The 18,542-nt window shown below is 52.2% G+C and overlaps 1 protein-coding gene across 7 annotated transcripts in view, besides 1 other annotated feature; it reads right to left on the bottom strand.

Moving 5' to 3' along the window:
• The window catches only part of STARD8 (StAR related lipid transfer domain containing 8), a 78,171-nt gene that overhangs the window by 18,963 nt on the left and 40,666 nt on the right, over window positions 1-18,542 (bottom strand). For 2 of the 7 annotated variants that reach the window (XM_005262315.4, NM_001142504.3), the window contains exon 1: window positions 13,048-13,235. The exons of 4 other annotated variants lie outside the window; for them this stretch is intronic. Coding sequence is in view for 1 of the 3 variants with exons in the window: in XM_047442679.1 (XP_047298635.1) it covers window positions 11,651-11,699 (49 nt within the window). In the remaining 2 variants the exon portion in view is untranslated. Of the gene's footprint in view, window positions 1-11,650; window positions 12,269-13,047; window positions 13,236-18,542 lie in introns of those variants that run through there. One more of the 7 variants, XM_047442679.1, reaches the window with a different exon arrangement.
• Window positions 13,122-13,311: a silencer, noted in NCBI's record as "silent region_20886". NCBI's record gives its function as "represses an Ori minimal core promoter by ATAC-STARR-seq in GM12878 lymphoblastoid cells {active_cell/tissue: GM12878}" and the evidence as "EXISTENCE:reporter gene assay evidence [ECO:0000049][PMID:35858748]".

Raw genomic sequence — 18,542 nt, 5'->3', positions numbered from 1 at the left:
CCATTTCCTTTGCCCGCTCTCCAACCCTAGAGAGGGACCCCTCTTAAGGAGAAGGTGCTGGCCTTTTGGCAGAGGGCTTGTATCTCAGAAGCTACCATCCTCAGCATGTGGCCCCAACTGCTCTGAGCAGCTTCTTTTACCCTCCCCTAAGGAAACACTAAGGGACCCAGGCCAAAATAAGCTTGCCCACCAAGGCTTGAGCCCTGGCACAGGGCTGCATCCCTCAGGGGCACTGTTTCATTTGAATTTGCACAAAGCTACCCTCTAGGTTGGCAGTGCCCCTAGAAGAAGTGCTGTAATGGGTGGCTGACTGGCTATGCCACCTCTCTCCCTGGGGGACAGTGGGAAAGGGACCTTCATGAGGACCTGTACTAAGAGCTGTCAGGGATTACAGGGCCACCAAGACTTTCCCTCCTGACCTTGAAGCAGACATGCAAGGGGGTCTGCAGTGCCCTATCTATGGGGCGGTCCAGTTCACTGGTGCCTCTCTCTGCTCCTGCTGCTCTTCACTGGAATCACAACTCTAACTTGATTCTTACAGAGGGAGGCACAGGGAGGAAAGGAGACAGGACCAAAATAGCTCTCATCCTACATTCCAAACCTCACAGGAGGGGCACCGCAGGAAGGGCCTCTGTATTTCACCCAGCCTAGGTTGGCAGTGCTGGACCCTGGCTGGCCTCTGGCTTGTTAGGTCACCGGGCAGAACTCAGGGCCCTGCTGCACCTGTTCAGATGCCAGCCTCGGTCTTGGCCGGGGCTACAGCTGGATGCCAAGTTCCAGGCCCATGCGAGCAACACTTCTGGAGCCTCCCTGTCACAAATGAGGCACCACCAAAGCAAACAGCCCAGGAGGGGCCCCTAGGACAGGGTGGCAGGAAAAACAAGCCACTGAATCTTTTAGCTGGCCAGTGGTAGGTTCAGGTGTGTGGTTCTACCTTCTGTATAACATCCCTCTCTCAACACTGCACACCCCAGAAAAAACTTCTAGTCTCTACCACAGGGATTCTCAACCAGGGACAATTTTTCCCCCAGGGGACATTTGGCAATGTCTGGAGACGTTTTTGGTCATCTCAATTGGTGGGGGTCAAGGAGTAAATGCTGCTAGCATCTACTCAGTAGAGGCCAGGGATGTTGCTAAACATCATACACCACACCAGACAGCCCCAGACAAAGGAAGGTTGACTCCAGATCTGAAGCACGAGATCCTGAGGGTTGGCCTCTGCCTTATCTGGGGCCTCCGGCCCCTCTGGGCAGCCCACCCTCCCCCCAGGATGTCCTGGGGGCTGAAGTGAAGAATGGGTGCAACATTCAGTGGTGGTCCCTAGCCTTTGCACACCGTGGACACCTTGCAGGATCGGCCAGGAAGAGGTGGCAATTCTGGTTTGGCATTTTATTTAAAAATGGAAGTTACACAAGAAACCCCCAACTGTGGTTCCCCGCTCCTCTCCGTGAAGCAGTGGCCTGAGCTCCTGTGTGCAGCTGTAAATGAGGGAGAGTCACGAGCACCCTGAGGTTAAACCAGACCTCAGGCCCACTGAGGCTGCTGGAGAATTTGGGTCCAGAGGCAGCCCAGCCTGTGGGCTCCTGGGCTTGAGCTTGGTATGGCAGGACCAAAGTAGACAGCTAACATTCCTGCCTGGCACTGGGTTTCCCTATGACAAGGAAGGTCAAAGCTGCCACCTGCTCTGCTGCAGTTGCTCCATTAGTTTTCTTGCCCCCAAGGGGCTCCTGCCCCCAACCCAGTCCCAGGTGCTCTGACAAGGTCATGGTGCCTAGGAAAGAGAGAGTTGTTTTAATGAGCCATGTGCTACTCCACCATCTCCAGTCCCTGGCCTAGAGATAAATGATGCCAGCCAAACCAGTCTGGGGCAGATATTAGGCCAGCGGTGACTGCTCTCCACTGTGGTTTGAGTGGAAAGTATTGGACTAACGGTCAGGTGAACTACCTTCTGGCCTTAGCTCCATGAGCAACTTGCATAACCTCAGGCAAGCCATTACCTCTGTCTGAACCTCAGTTTCCACATCTCCTAATGGCCGTTCCCCAAAATCTAGAGCTGCAGCAGAGGTGTGTGTGATGCGTAGTGGCTGTCTCAGTGCGGGGAGCTTCCTTCCTTCACATTCTCTTCTGAGGACCCAAGCGAGGAACCTCAGTGGCAACGCAAACCAAACCCATCTTTCCCCACAAACCAGCTCTCTATATGTTCCTGCCTCCCAATACGCCCACTGCCTAGGCTTAAACCTCAAGTCATCCTTGCTCTCTTCTGGCCACATGTATTTAGGCACCAAATTCTACCAACTTTTCCATCAAATGGTTGGGTTTTTTCCTGCCCAACTGTGCTCTAGGTTCTCCTGCCTGGATTACTTCAGCCCTCCAAGTTCCCAGCCTCCAGCCTCTCCTTTCAAGGGGCCATCCTGCCAGCTGCTTCTTCCAAGAGCCCAGCTCTAACCTGGCCGCTCCCCTACTCTACAACCTAAAGAGCTCCCACAGCCTGGGGCAGATAGTCTTGACTGCTCCCTGGCATTCAAGGCTCTGCACAATCTAGACATGGCCTGATTTGAAGCTTCAAACTGCTATTTCTTCATCAAGCTGGAGGTCAAACACCCACTCCCGCGAAGCCTCCCCTGACCTCTCACCAACCCCCTAACACCCAGTGGCTCAGTTCAATGAAGCAGTCCCCTAACACATTTCCATGATCATCTCAGCAGCATGTGAGTCTATCCCCCATTCAACTGGGGGCTTCTCTGCACTGGGTACTTTTGGTCTTTGTGTTGCCGCTGCAGTGTGTTAAGGGCTACCGAATGTTCTGGCAACACACAGACAGGAAGCCCTACTTCCCACTACACAGTATAGAGGCCTCTGACTCTGCTCCCTTGTCTGGTATCACCACAGCACTAGAAATGGAATTGAGCACATGTCTTCACCTCAAAGCCTTGCCCTAGGACAGAAACCACATAGCCAGGAACCAAGGCTCAGAGATGTGCGAACAGAAAATGAACTCTGCTTGATGGTGGAGGCATTATGACCTGAAGGAGCACTTCACTCTGCCAAGCTCAGGGGAGGGCACCCACGTTCACTTGAGAGAAGGGGCATGCCTACCTCCTGCCTCCCTCTCTTGGTCTGGAAAGTCTTGGCACTTGTCTGTTTTGACCCTGTGCCACCACGTCTGCATCCCACCCCCTTGCCTACTTCCCTTTCCTTTTGCTCAGGCCAAATATAAACTCCTGGGCAGGAAATGCCTTGAAGGAGCCTGGCCCCACCCTGAGATCCAGAGAAAATTATCTCTGATAGAAAGGAAATGGGCCTGAGAGAAGTGGCCTCCCCGGGAAGGGAGCAGACACGACCCCTCCCCCAGCCCCAAGGAGAGCCAGAGGGAGGGCTGTGATGCTGAGCACATAGCAAGGGGCGGAGCCTAGGGCTCTGGGGGCAAGGGTGATGACGTGCATGCTCAGGCCATGGTAGGGCCAAGGGAAGGAGAACCCCAAATGGTGGTCTTACAGCTCTGTAGGGCCTATGGGCGTAGAAGTTACAGGGTACAGTGGGAAGAGTTAACAGGCTAGCCACCTGAAGACGTAGCCTATTTGTCACCTCTCTGTACCTCTTCCTTTTCTTTTTTTAAAATGAGGCCTCACTCTGTCACCAGGGCTGGAGTGTAGTAGCACAATCACAGCTCACTGCAGCCTCGACCTCCCGGGCTCAAGCAATCCTCCCACCTCAGCCTCCAGAGTAGCTGGGACTACAGGCGTGCACCACCATGTCCAGCTAATTTTTGTATTTTTTATATTTTGTAGAGATAGGTGTCTCCCTATATTGCCCAGGCTGGTCTCAAACTCCTTGGCTCAGGCAATCCTTCTGCCTCAGCCTTCCAAATTGCTGGTGTGAGCCACCACCGCCCCTGGTCCTGGCTCTATACTTCTTACTCATTAATGACAGCAATATTTAAGATACTGAATGTAATTATTAATAAAATATAGCAGACACTAATAGTTATACAGTACTTACTATGTGCCCTGAGCCATGGACTTTGTACTGAGCCATTATTATATCCCAGACATTTCTTTAAGTTTTTTTTTTTAATGTGTATTATGTCATTGAATCTTCACAACAAACCTGTGAGCTAAGTGCTCCAATAATATCTCTATTTTACAGAGGAGGAAACTGAGGCCCAGAGATATGGAGTAACTTGCCCAAGGTCAGCAGCTAAGAAGAGGTGAGCCAAGATGCAAATCCAGGCAGTTTGGCTCTAGAGTCAGAGCTACCAAGTTAGAATCTTCCTCATTAAAGAAAAGAAATTGTCTAGGCTGGGGCCTGGCACACAGCAGACACAAAATCATCTACCAGGGTTTTTGTAGTAAGAGTGGTTAGCCTGAATTTAACTTCCTATCAGCCAGGAAAGCACTTGATCATCCTGTATGTCACTTGGTCCCCACAAGAACTCCTCCAAAGCAGGTAATGCCTATGGTACAAATGGGAAAACTGAGGCTGCAATAGGTCATGTAGCTTCTGTTGGACTACAGATTGGGCCAGAAGCCTACCTAAATAACCACAGCCCTCCTGTTGACCTGTTCCCATTTCAGCCTCCCTCGGCTCTCCCTTTAGAATCCACTCCCCATGGACTGTGAATTTATTCAACTAATAATACCCAAGCACCTACTTGGTGCCAAGCCCTATGCTGGGTACTAAGGTCTGAAAACAGAACAAAAACTGAATTCTCCTGCAGCACTCGGCCAGAGCTGCTGCCAGGCCCATCCTTCTCAGGGAGACAGGCTACCATGGACTGGCCTTCGTAGCACTCCCTGGAGCTTGCTTCGGAGGCAAGATAAAGGGGAATAAGCCCTGAAGCAATGGAGCTGGCAGCTAGTACAGCCTGAGGGAAGGAAGCTTGCAGCCCCCAAGACCCTGAGATGGAAGCACTTCGGGGAGGGCTACAGCTTCTGGACAACCTCCTCCCACCCAATTCTAGCATGGGACACGCCAGCTAGTGATCATAAGAGCTAATCCAGCCAGCCTCCTGCCAGCCCCTAACCACCCATGCCTTCTAAATAATGCAACCTGGTTGTCAAGAGAGCATATTCAAATGTCTCTTCCTCCCTGATGCCACCCAGCACCCTGTTCTCCACCCCCAGTACTAGAAGGTGCTAATCAGGCAGGCCTGGTGCTGATGTCAGAACCACACTGCCACCCCCACTGCCCACACTGCCACCCCCACTGCCCAACTCCCTCCTGCACTCCCTCCCCACCCCAATGCAGCTCTGTTTTAGAGCATGAATACCCACTCCTCCATGTCTTCCCTCTATCCATCTGTCCACCTTGGTGATGGAGGGTGAGAAGAAGTGCACAGAGCAGACAGGCAAGGACCTGGGGACTGCCTGTCCAGAAGTGACTGATCACTGGTGCGTGTGATGAGCACTCAGGTGGGGAAGGAGACCCGAACCTCAGCTCTTGCCTCCTGGCCAGGCATCTGGAGAGAGGCATGGCCCAGTCATTAAAGATGTCAGGAGGTGGAGTCAGACCACCTGGGTCCTGATCCCAGCTCCATCACTCCCCGGATATGTGACCTTGGGCAAGTTTATTAAATAAAAGAGAGACAAAGATAGCAGTACCTACCTTATGGAATTGCCATGAATGCTAAAGAAGTTAAAATTTGCCAAGAATTTAGAAGAGTTCACTATTATTATTGGTGTCACCATCACTACTATAGCCTGTTGAGTGTCGCGAATGCCACTAAAGAAGGCCAGAGGAAGGGAGCCCTGTGGGTGGGCATGGCCAAAGGGAGCTTTTCTGGGTAAGGTGGACTCTGAAATGACTGCAAAGTCCAGACCGAATGCCCACGAGGTGGCAGGTTTGAGAACTGCCCACCCCCAGGTCAGTGAAAAACAACCAAATGACAGGACTGCAGAAGGTACTACCAAGCAACAATAATGGCAATAATTTTATTTATATTGTTGGATTTAATATTCAACAACTCCATGAGGTGGGTACATATCTCCATTTTAGAGCTGACAAAATGAAGGCTCAGAGAAGTTAAGTAATTTGCCCAAAGTCTCCCAGCACTGTGAACATGAGAGCTTGTGTACAGCTCAGGACGTATTTTACTTCTGCTCCACTCTGACCCCTTTTCCACATTCCCCTCTCTGTTTTTCCCATTTAGAAGGCCCTGCTGGTGTGGGCACTGCTCAGGACAGATGTTTGGGGACAAGCTCTTCCCACAAGCTCACTGCCTCTGCCACAGCCTGACTTGACCTCAGCCTGGAGCAGAAAGGCTGGCTGCAGGTGCCTATCTCACACCTCAGACAGGCCAGCCTTTGGCCAGCCCAGATAAAGGACAGGAAATCCTAGGCCACGTCCCTTGGAGCTCACTCTCTCACAGGAACAGAGTTGCAGCCAGGGCAGGGGTTCCTCTGTGGTGGGGAAGCTGCCGAGTCAGCCCCGGCTGCCATGGCTGCTGGGTGTGGTTTGGGGAAAACAGGGAGGGCTGAGGGTCAGGAGACCTGGGCTCCAAATCCTCCCTCACTGGAGACTGTTCTTCCCTTCCCTGGGCCTCAGGTGGAGACCACCACAGATCATTCTGGGGAAATCATACCATCTACTTTACAGGGCTGCTCTAAGAACACAATGGAATCATGGAAGTGAAAGTGCCTTGGCAACTGAAGAAATGGGAGGACTCATAGTCATCATCATCAACTGCCAGGGGAAGGAATGGCTACGTTGGTATTTCTCACTGTCTGATTCACTCTTCTAGGCCCCACTGTGGGCATGGCTCATACTCATTTCCGGCTTCAGTACTCCCTAAAATATCCCCTTCCCTCCACCCACCCCTGACCAACTCCAAAGATAAAACCGAGTGGCAGGAAAGCAGGGTACGCTGGAAGCCCCCCACATATTACATTGTATTTAACTCAACAAGGGGAACACCTACTAACACCAGGCTTGTCCTCCACTATGGGGGCACCAATAAGAAGGCCCTACCTTCCAAGGGCTCTCCAATCGTGAGAGCTGGCTGGACCTGAACCATAAACAAATCAGTGTTGTCTAAGGTATTTGCACCCAAGATTCTGGGGGTTAGGAGTCTACCTGTTGTGGTAACCAGAAAAGGATTATGGAAAAGTCATCTGAACAAGTTCAGACTATAAATAAACTAAGGGGAGTGAGGGGTTTCCAGTGCCCCATTTCCTGCCCCCACATGTTAAGGGGGCCATAAACAGTAGCATGTAGGGAGGACAGAGGACAGTGATGAGGCTGGGAAGGGGGCTGCTCCAGGTCTGAGAAGGAGCGCAGACGCTTGAAGGTTGTTTGGCCTAGAGAAGACACAGGTGCACTTGGGTTCCATCCTCAGATCCCTGAAGGTCAGAGAGAGCAGACAGGGTCCAGGTGGTCCCAGAGGGCACACTCGGAACCCAGGGTTAGAAGCCTCAGGGAGGCACAGTTAAGTTCAACATAAGAGAAAACTTTCACACATTCCAAAGACGAAAGCAACTTGCTTGAAACATATCACATTCCCAGGTATTGAACATGAGTGAGCAGGAACTGCACAAGTACCTGTCGGGAAGCCCCAAGCTTCAGAAGGAAAGTTGGACCTAGTGCCCTCTAAAGGTCCTTCTGCCCTGAGCTCTGCCTGCATACCTACCTCTAGAGGGGTTGTGGGAGAGAGCATAAAGGTGACTGGAGCTGGCTAGGCCCTTGGCTGCTTCCCACAGGGACCTAGGATCCCAGGAGCACCTTGGGCTGGTACGACCCAGGGGGAGCAGTTCACTCATTAACTTGTGGCTGAATGGGTCAGAGAGTGGCTGGCCACTAGGGACAGACACAGGCTTGGGGAGGGGCCAGAGAGCAAACTGCAGAAATGCCCAAGCACAAGGAGAACCCAAGCTGTGGCAATTCAGGGCTTGGCCAGCTCCAACTGACCCAGCCAGCTGAGAACATTCAGTGTCTGGGCCTGATTGAATTTGAAGCCAGCTCACCATTGCCTGGTAGATAAGAAAAGGGTCTTGAGTGGGGAGGCATACTTGCATAGCTGAAAGGAAGGCTCACAGACCACTGAGTCTGCCTGCCAACTGCCCTACCCACTTTATAGTTGTGGAAATTGAGGCCCAGAGAAAGCAAAAATCACTCACCGAGAGAAAGCTATAGAGGGGGCAGAACCAGAAGCCGTTTCCCAACTCTGTAGTAGGCCCACGGGGTGGTTCCTTCTCTTCCTACTGAAACTGCAGGAAACTGCATATGGTCTGGAGCTTTCTAAATTGGGTCTGGGTCTGGGTCTGGGTCTGGGTCTGGGTCTGGGTCTGGGTCCTGGCCCGACCCTTACCAAGTGCCACTGCTTGTCCAGATACAGGCTCCCGGAGGAAGGCATCCTCCTCCACTTACAGAGGTCCTCAGCCTCTCAGCAGCAATCATGTGGTTGGCTGTCCCCATTTCCACTGCAGCCTGGTGTGGAGGGACCCACAGCTGTACTGAAAACAGACACACATTCACACAGCCTCACCCCATACCCAGCATCGGCAGACCCTTTGGGTGGGCATTTCTTGCTCTTTTAGACTTTCAAATTGAGATGAGGCGATCAACTACTCCTAGAAACACCCCCCTACCCCTTTTTAACTCTGATGCTGGACCCCACTGCCCATCCAAATCCCCATCAATTCACTCCGCTCCCCTTCTCAATACCATCCAAGCTGAACCCATGTCCTTCAAATGGTGTGAATAACTGCTTCCGTTTGCCAAGTAAAGGATGGAGGGGCAGACTTTTCACTGGCCCCAGAAGTTCCCGTGAGTGAATGTTTGTCAATGTTCCCTTGGGGGAAGGTGAGGGTTCAGGATATGGTCTCTTTAAGGCCTGAGGTGGACAGGGAGTTAGTTAATGACCATCCCCTAGAGATGACTTTCCAAGGTGGTTATTATGTGGCTCAATGATTAACCAAGCAGTGGCAGGACCCCAGGCTTGTTGGAAGGAGGCTGCTCTTTTCCCAAAGACAGCCCAAGAGCAGGAGCCTGCAGTCAGGGAGAACATTCCTGGGGTCTTTCTCTCCCTCTCTGACAGGCTGTGGTGAGGTGGGTGGGGGCAGAGGCCTGCACTGAGGGAATCTCTCCCTCAGCCCCACATGGGGGTAGAGGGCTGGCCCGGATATGGAGGAAGTCAGCACACCCTTACTGGGGCGGAAGGGAAAAGAGAGACAGTGAGGGTTTTTATCATGAATGAGAGAGGAAGCTCCAAGCTGGGCCTTGGTGATTAGATGACAAGCTGGGAAAGACGTTCATCCTGAATGCATCCTGTTTTGCTCTGAACTGGCCTCAGGGGCCAGGCGCAGGGGAGGGGCCTAGGTGGAGAGCAGCCTCCCAGAATTCTCCCAGACCTGCGTACCCCAAACTCCTGGGTGCCCTGGACTGGGGAAGCAAGTGTGAGAGTGAGAACTGTCATTTACTGCTAGAGAAACAAAGGCAGGAAGTCTCCGCAAGAAGCCTCCATGGGTCAGCCTCCAGATCTGGAGCCCTAGAGGCGGCTAACATCTGGGCTGGGACCTTTCCTGGGCCTCTCTTCCAAGGTTCAGCTCAAATGCCACTGCCTCTGTCCGTCACCTTCCCCTCAGTCAAAAGCAATCACTCCCTGGAATGGATTTCCCAGGGCAGAATGGACGTCCAGGGCAAATAAGTCCTTCTCAACAATTGGAAATATGAACACTTACCGGTTATTTGATAATATTAAGAAACTATTTTAGGTGTGATAATGGTTGTTTTTATGAATCCTTATCTTTTAGAAATACGTATTGAAATATGTATAGATGAACTGATAAGGTTTCTGGGATTTGTTTCAAAATAACAAGGGCATGATGTAGATAAGAGTATGGACAGGGCAGGATTGGCCATGGGCAAATGGCTGTTGAAACTGGGTGATGGGTACATGGGGTCTTAGTACACTAATTATCTCTATTTTTATATATGTTTGAAATTATTCACAATAATTTTTTTGAAGTCCTCACCAAGGTATTATTATTTAATACATAAATAATTAGTGGCATGTATTATTTATGCCACTAACCCCCAAACTAGATGGTACATTCCCTGGAACTGGGGGTTTTTACTCTGTGTCCTCCACAAGACCTAGCACCAAGCCTAAACTTAATGACTAATAATTTATACAGCACATGGTAGTTTACAAAGCACTTAGCTATGGATCCCCTAGTTTAATCCAGTGAAGTGGAAAAAATGAGGAGAAACCCAGAGTCGGAGAATTTGAGGGGGGCGGCAGAGCCTGGAGTTAAAGCTCCCCATGTTCAACTCCCAATCCCCTGTTCTTTGCTCCACACCACCCTGAACTCCTAGGGAACTTAACATTCAGTTCTAAAATTCCTGTGTGTGGTCGAGGTAAACAGGAACAGCAACTGTTTAGCATGCAAGTTACCAACCTGCAGGGCTGGGGAAAAGGAAACTCCACCCACAAACACAGCACTTCAGACTTGTGACAAGGGCCCAGGCTGTGGCCTCCAGTCCACTGATTCCTATCTACCAGGACCCTTCCCGAATGCATGCCCATGCACACGTGCGCACACACAAACCAAGACCCCTTAATAAACACCTGACACCAGCAACTGTGTGCCCAACCCAGTGCCCAACTACCCTGTTGTGGGGTGGGGAAGAATGTAAAACTCACCTAGATCTCCGGGAGCTCACACTTCCCACCCTAAAGCCCTTGTATCTTTGAAATCTGCTGTCCCTATTTTATCTGCTGAACAGCTTTCCCAAGGCCCAGGGCCATGACACCTGATCCTAACCAAACTGGGAGCCTAAGGCAAAAGGTCCTTCTCTTCTTTTCAAGGCAGAGGCAACCCTTTCTTCTAGCCAGAAAAGAGGTGAGGGCACAGCCTGCACGTGATAAACCTGCCATCTGTTGAACCTGAACTTTCCATGGCTCAAATAAGGAGCTCCAGGAGTCTCCTAGCAGCAAAGCAGCTGCAGCTGTGACAGCTTCCCAATTGGAGACTCCATCCCCTCCTTCCTTTGGGACCTTCTTGCCTTTGTGTCCCTGTTGCTATCCTCTAAACCTAGACACAGGGGTCTTCTGCTCCCTCTCCAATCTGTAGTCCCAATAATGGAATTTTAAAACTTTAAGAGGACAGAGAGGGACAACATTCGAGTCTTCTTGGTGCCACTTTCTTTGCTTCTCTGCTGGAACTCAGGAGGTATTGTGTTTGAATAAGGAAGGCTCTGCCATCCTCCCCACATGACTCACTGCAAGCCCTGTCTCAAGCAAGCACACAGCGCACACAGCCCCTTTGCTTTGCACACCTTCAGTTCAGCCCTTCTTGCTCTAAACACCTCCAGATATCATCTGTAGGCAGCTTCTCCTCTCTAGGTGGGGGAGGGGAGCTGTAGATGCACAGAGAGGTTTAGCATAATTCTCCAAAAACAGGAGAGGCAGTGTCCAGTGTGGTGTTTCCTAGCACTAAATATAGAGGTCTAGGGAGCAGAAATCCAAAATCCAAAGTCCAACACATTAACAAAAGGCCACGTCCCTAAAATGAAAACCAGCCCAGAATGTCCAGCTAGATGGCAGCTGTACCTTTAGAGTGAAAGAGTTTCACTACCGACCCCTATGCCCTTACAGCAAAACACCACCCTTCCCATCACACTCTTCCCACTGCGAAAGCCACCCAGAAATCACCTGCAGCCTTCTTCTCCATGCCTTTGGGCTGCCCACCTTCCCATCGCATCCGCAGACAAGATTTGTCCCCCTTTCATTCCAGGAGGATGAAAATGAGAGGAAAACTCAGAGGGCAATAATACAGGTGTGGGGGGCGGGGGGGCGGCAAACCCTAGAGTGGGGAGGGAGCAGGTCGCACAGGAGGAGTCAGGGTTTGAAAATAGCCCTGGGTGTGATTCATTAACCCCTCCTCCCCGCTTAGGCTCTGACTGGGAGAGAAGCCAGGCCCTGGGACTTGGGGGTAAGCATAGGCTCCAAGCCAGCCCAATCTCTGAGGCCCCCAACCTCTGGGGCCCCAGGCTCTGGAAGAAAACTCCCACCTCTCCCTACCTTGGTCTGGCTGCTGTCGCCCACCCCTCCACGCACACTCTAGTTTTCCAGCTGGCTTAGCTGCATAATCACCACAAAGCTCTCCGTGTGCATAGCTGCTGCCACCCCGAGCGTCTCAGAGACAACCTTTTACCTGCCAGTTAGGAGCCTGACCCCAGGTACCAAGTAAACAAATGTCAGGGTGAAAGAGACCGGGCCCTTTAGATACTGAAATCAAGCTGCCACCTGAGGTGTGGCTGAAAACACTATGGCCCACACAGTAGTATGACTCGCCTAAGGTCACATGGACTGGCTGAACCCCAGTTTCCTGAGTCGTAATTCAGCGCGCAACTTTCACAAGTGTCAGGAGGAACGTGGAGAGAACCCCACACTACCTAATTTGGAAATTCCAAAAACTTCCACTAAAAGCCTTTCCTCTAATCCAAACCCATTTTGGACTTTATGGGAAAATGAGGCCTATGAAGATGAGACGTGTCCAAACGTTTTCGCTTGGTCCCCGCAGCTATCTTAATACCAAGAAGTCCTGGGCATTTCTCAGGAGAGAAAGCAATGAGGCAGTGGCCGACGGGAAAACCCATACAGCCGGACGGGGGCTTCCTGGAAATGCCCTCGAAAGCAGAGAAAGGAGAGGGCAGGAGATCTGGCGCGACCCGGCAACAGAGCCTGAAGCTCTGCCGCCCCCGGCCAGCTGCAACGCCCCTCCAAAGCCCCAGAGCGACGGCTGCGAGACCCACGGGCCCGGCGGTAACAGGCGGACAGCTGCCTTCCACCGCCCCACTCGCGAGGCTTCGCTGGAAGACGCGCGGCTGGCGCGCTCGGGGGTCCCCCAATTTCGGCGATTCTGACCCCCCAATCCCAGGGGCGGGGGTGGCTCGGCTCGCTTCCTCCCTGTCTCTTGCGTACGCCGCCCGGCGGAACCGCTAGGAGAAGGGCCGAGCCGGAGCGCGCCAGAGAGGCAAAGCGGGGAGAGGGAGCCCCAGGCGCCCCCGTTTGTCTGGATCTCCCCCTGCCGTCGCCCAGACTCCTACCTGGAGGCCGCGTCCACCCCTTTGGGTTCGGGCGCTGACACAGAGCGAGCGGGCAGGAGGCGAGCCCAGGAGGGACTGCTCCGTCCGGGACACACGCGGGGCCTGGGGTCGGGCAGGGGTGACGGTGCCAGCCAGAAGAGCAGCTGCCGCGGCTGCTTAGCCGTTGTCAACCCGAGTCCACTCAGCTCAAGTGGGGAGGGAGCGTCGGCGAGTAGGGCTGTAGGGACGCCCCGCCCACCTCCCCTCGGCCAATGGGGGCGCAGTCTGGCCCACCGGACTCGCCAGAAAGTCACCCAAATCTGGGTGGGCGGGGCACTGCCTGCAGGTCCTCCAAGGCCCTCGCCGCTGCCTTTCCCTCCGGTCACACCGCTGCCAGGGAGGAGGTGCAAGCCCAAAGACTGAGGCTCAAGCAGTGACTTGGCCAGGCACACAGGCTAATATTTATTGAGTTCTGAATGAGTCCGGCACTGTTTGGGGGATTTAAACACATATGCTATGTGCCCGGGAGGGTTCAGTGACTTGCTCGGATAATTTATGGGATGTCCAGAAGACACAACTTCAGTGAAATCTCCAATTGGTAGGGGAAAACCAGATAATTAGGAATTTGAGCAGGAAGCTGCCATCCCTACGTTGCTCAGGCCCCAGTGGCTCTGCAACTTCCCCAATACCCCAGGCTTCTGTCCCCTACCCCAAGTCTGAACTCTACCTCCGCAGAGAAATGCATGGAAAATTTGGGGCACGAACATTAATCGTGGCAGGGGAGGGCTTCCAGGAGTTCTGATAGTAAGCACCACCAGAAAGTCCATTCAAATTCAGTAAGAAACAAGAGCCTTCGGCTTTGATTTCTCTCTGGCCTTTCATCACAAGGGTCCAACACAAGTTCACAACCTTGATTTCATTGTTGAATTGAGGACTCCTATTAGTCAGGTCTGAGAGTATCCAGGACCTCATGCAGTTCAACTGCTATCCCTCACATTTACAAAGACAGAAACTGAGCAGACTTTAAGCATGACTCACTTAAAGCTACCCAGCCTGGAACTCCTGTGGTCAAGAAAATCTCCTGCCTCAACTTCCTGAGTAGCTAGGATAACAGGTGTGTGCCACCATGCTCAGCTAATTTTTACATTTTTTGTAGAGCTGAAGTCTTGCTATGTTGCCCAGGCTGGTCTCACACTCCTGGCCTCAAATGATTTACTCAGCAAATCCATGGCAGGGTCAATACCTGTACACTGGTTATTTTCTCCACACCATTCCTAGAAGGCAGGAACTGCATCCATCTAACTTGCTTGTTAGAGTATCTGATACAGATGAGAGCAAAAATATCTGTCTCTGAGGGCAGCAACTTTATCAAGGTCACCCAGGGAAAGACAGAGCCAGACCTAACCCAGCCCCAAGTGCCCCTCTCCTGTCTAGCTTTCAGTTCACTAGGCCAAACTGAAATTCTCCCACATTCCTTCCCTGCTGGCCCTGATGAGAGTCAGAGGAGCAATGATAAAGTGACACTACCACCACTGTGTGTCCCATGTATCCCTCTTTTCCTCTTGATGGCAGGACTGCCCCTCGTATCCTCTAGCAATTTGTTCAAGGTGCGCCAAGTCCCTGTGGGTCTATGGATGAGGCCTGCACACCAGAAGTTACTCCCAGAAGCAAAATCCTTCTGGTGGGTGGGAAGGGATATGACCTCCTTCCTGAGGCTGGGCTTTAACAATTGTAAGCATCCTTAAGGCTCTGAGTTGAAGCCAAAGGCATCTTGCCTGTGCACAGTGCTAAAAAGGACAAAAAGTGGGGTCCTGCAATGATTTTATCATTTCCCTAAGGGCAAGAAACCTTGTCAAAGCCAATTCCATCCACTCCAGGAAACCAAGCACAGTGCTTACAGTACTTTCCTCACTATTGTTTGTTAATGAATGAACAAATGTTGAAAGATATTCAAAGCACAACCAAAAATAAATGACAATCATATGACTAATGAGCAAAGTCAACTTATCTTTTAGTAGATACATTTAACTGAATCAGATATCATGGGTTCTGAGACACCAGCTGTATTTTTTTAAAAGCCATCAAACCAGGAAACAAAAAAGGAGGAGGGTATAGTATGAAAACTACCAAAAAATGGGGCACTGCTATAAATACTTAGAAGGAGAACTTCGCAGTGCCTGGCATAGAGTAGATGTTCAATAAAAATGCTTGTCGAATGACAGTGAACACAATTGTCAGGGTAAGCTACAATCATGATATTTGCCATGCACATTGTGACATTTTGAAATGGCCCAAGCGATATCAGGGCTATTTCTTTTGGTCTTTTTTGATCTCCCTCTTTTATTCTGGCCAGGAGAGCTCAGCCTGTTCAGCAGGGCAAAGATAGCTCATCCCCTTCAATACCCCTGCCAACCCCTGCTCCCTGCCCCTGAGTCTTGCATGGATTAATAGTGCCTGGAATGGATGAGAAAGAGTATCTTTTCACAGGCCCATTTCTAGGTTGCAGCCTGAGTGGCTGTGGAGGTAACTGGAGGCTTTAGGTTCTTGACTTCCCCTTTTCCTCAAGCCCTCACTCTTGCCTGTGTGTCCTATAGTACCATTGCTGTTGCTACCTTGGATGCCAGCTCAGTCATCAGGCAGGGGAATGTAGAGTGCTTGAAGCAGGCCAAGGCCTGGCAAAAGAAAAAGTCTCTGTGTGTATGTTTGTGCGTGTGTGTGTGTGCGTGTGTGTGTGTGTTTCTGTGCCCGAGGCATGGGGCTTTCCTCATTCTACCATGCCCACAGACCACGTAAGCCCCACAAGAGGGAGTATAATGAACACTGGAGCAAGATGGCCTGGGTACAAATGGCCTCTGCTACTTACTAGCTGTGTGACTCTGCCTCAGTTTCCTCATCTGGAAAGTGTAGATGATCATCACAACCCTGACCTTCAATGGCTGCAGAGCAGATCCACTAGGCTAAGTAAACACTTAAGAGTGATGGCTGGCACATAGTAAGTGCTTATAAGCGTCAGATATGGTGAGAAGCACTGAGCAATAGTAGAATGAGCCCTGGATTAGGAATTAGTAGAGCTAAATGCTGGCCCCAGTTCTACCACTTTCTTGTTATGCCACCCAGGACAAGTCATTGTGCCACCCCAGCCATCAGTTTTTTCACCTATAAATAACAAGACTAGAGTATAATACCCACTGGGTAGAGTAGAGACAATAAATGTGAAAGTATACTGTAAAGGACTGTGGCAGGTGGCAGGATGACACTGAAGGTGCTATAGAGCTAACCTTTGGGGGACCTATCAGCCCTTTTCTCCTACGCTGTGGCAAAGAGCAGTTCCATATACCATTCCCCTGAGCCTCACTCTGAGACCCTTGGGTCCCAATAAGGGCCTACCTGAGGACTCCCAACAGTCCCCCCGCCCTGCCTGCCTGGGAATGGGAGTTGCTCGAGCTGCTGCTGGCAGACCCATGCCCCCACTCTGGAATGGCTAGGTTAATATCCAAAAGGAACCAGATAGACTCTTCTACTACTCTTTTCCATAGGAGCTAAAGAAACCGCAGCAAATCACTTCAGGGAATTCAGCTGGGAAGTTTTTAGAAAAGGGGTAGGAGCAGTGAGGGGAAAATGAATTACACTCAGACCAGCCCCACCAAGTACATGAGTACCGGTGGCCTCACACACAGGCTCTGACACTTGTACGCACATTCCCGCATGCCTCAACGAAGCCTGCTCCCTGGTGGCTTGGGGCCCCCGCCCAGCCTCATGAAAGGGGGCTATTGATCAGGTCCCAAAACAGAGGATAGTCATGGTTCATTAAAACAAACAAACAAACAAAACAAAACAAAACAAAACAAAACAAAACTTCCTGAGGAGCCATGGCCATAGGAGGGAGATTTGCACTAAGAAGACAGCCCAAGCAGAGGCAGATGTGGACAGAGGGAATACAGTGGTGGGGAGGGGTTTGAAAAGGTGAGGGCCACACAAACACCTCACTGTCTATACATTGCCAAGTGTGGACAGAGGACAGAAAGCTACATCCTGGAAGGAGCACCCCCTCTCAGCCCACAGCCTAGGGGACTATCACGGTTGCCTCCAGCCTCACCCCAGAGCACCCTGGAAGGAGGAGCTCTGTGCTGAGCTCAGAGCCCTGGGCTGGCAGTGAGGGACTCTGGAGCACAGGCCCAGCCAGGCCCAGGCCAGGGGAGATTCAGGGGTCACCTAACCTCTCTGCCCTTGCCCTCCCTAAGCTCAGACATACAGGTGTGGGGCGGCTCATGACTGCCTCCAGGCACTTGGACTGGGCAGGTGGAGCTGGATAACCCAGCCCTGGCTCTTTCCCAGATACGCGGGGACCTGTCATCTCTCCTCAACCAACACCAGTCAATGTGCCAGCCTGATGGAAGGCTGGGCCCCAGCATCCACTCAGTAGACCCCCCGGGCCATGACAGTGCCACAGGTACCATTTGACACCCAGGATGGGTCTCCGGACTGACCTTACTGGCCCATCTCAAAGGGTCCCCAGAGGTTTTCTGCTGCAGGCAGATGGAGCACCCCACTAACGCCTCGGGGAGGTCTGCCTGCCCAGCCCTAACAAATAGATGGGGTCACCGTGGACAGAGCACTTGGTGACCGTAGTGGCACAGACGCCCAGAGCAGGATGTCCACCCCGGTGCCCCACCCCATTCCTGCCCTCCAGATTCCAAAGGTCACAACATGCAGAGAGGAGATGAGCAAAGGCAAGCCTGCCTCTGACACAGCCCCACACCCCACACACAACAGGCGAGGACAGGAGTGCTCCCCTCTGCCCAGCTTAGTCTCAGTCCTCAGCCCTGGAGCTTGCTTCTCCCTGGCTAGGCCCACTTTCCTCATCTGGAAAAAATGGGGTGGGCCCTGGTTCTAGGGTCCCTTCCTTCCAGAACGCTCTGCTTCTGTGAGCTGCTCTGTGTGTTCCCATGGGGGTGGGGCATCTGCAAGTCCAGCATGCACAGGGCTTCTGCAGAGCACGGGGGTGGGGGTGGCATGATGGTCCTCTGAGGATGGGGGGTACCTGGGGCCAGGGGAGGAAAGTGAGAAAAAGGAAGGGTGGGGAGCCTGGGGGAAAGGCAGGGAAGGGGAGGGCTGAGGCTAAGCTGCCCCACTCCTGGAGCCCTGGTCTTTGCCCCCAGCGTTGCTCCCAGCTCACCTTGGGGCTATGGGTATCCAGAGTCCTTGAACAGCCCTCAGGATCCTACCTCCTTGTCTGGGATCCTTTCCAGTGTCCCTCCAGGGCTGCAGCTCCCAAAGAAAAAACCTGGGAAGGCGAGGAGGAGCCGGGGAAGCAGAAAGAGAGGCTCTTCCTTCCCATTCACAGGTTCCATCGTCAGCTGCCACGGCCTGACCCCACACTGCCACCAGACGTGGCGCCCTGGAAGCTGGAGGGCTGCTTGTGGAGTGGTGTGTGGCTTTTATACGCCCTGCCCCCAGCCTGGCCCAGCCCAGCCCTGTGAAGAGGGGTCTCTAGGGCTTGACAATGTCAATTCAGG

The sequence above is a fragment of the Homo sapiens genome, chromosome X (genome assembly GCF_000001405.40).
Source record: "Homo sapiens chromosome X, GRCh38.p14 Primary Assembly".
NCBI classification, from domain to species: Eukaryota; Metazoa; Chordata; class Mammalia; order Primates; family Hominidae; genus Homo; species Homo sapiens.
Note: the sequence above shows the minus strand (reverse complement) of the source record. Positions and strands in the feature narration are given on the sequence as shown.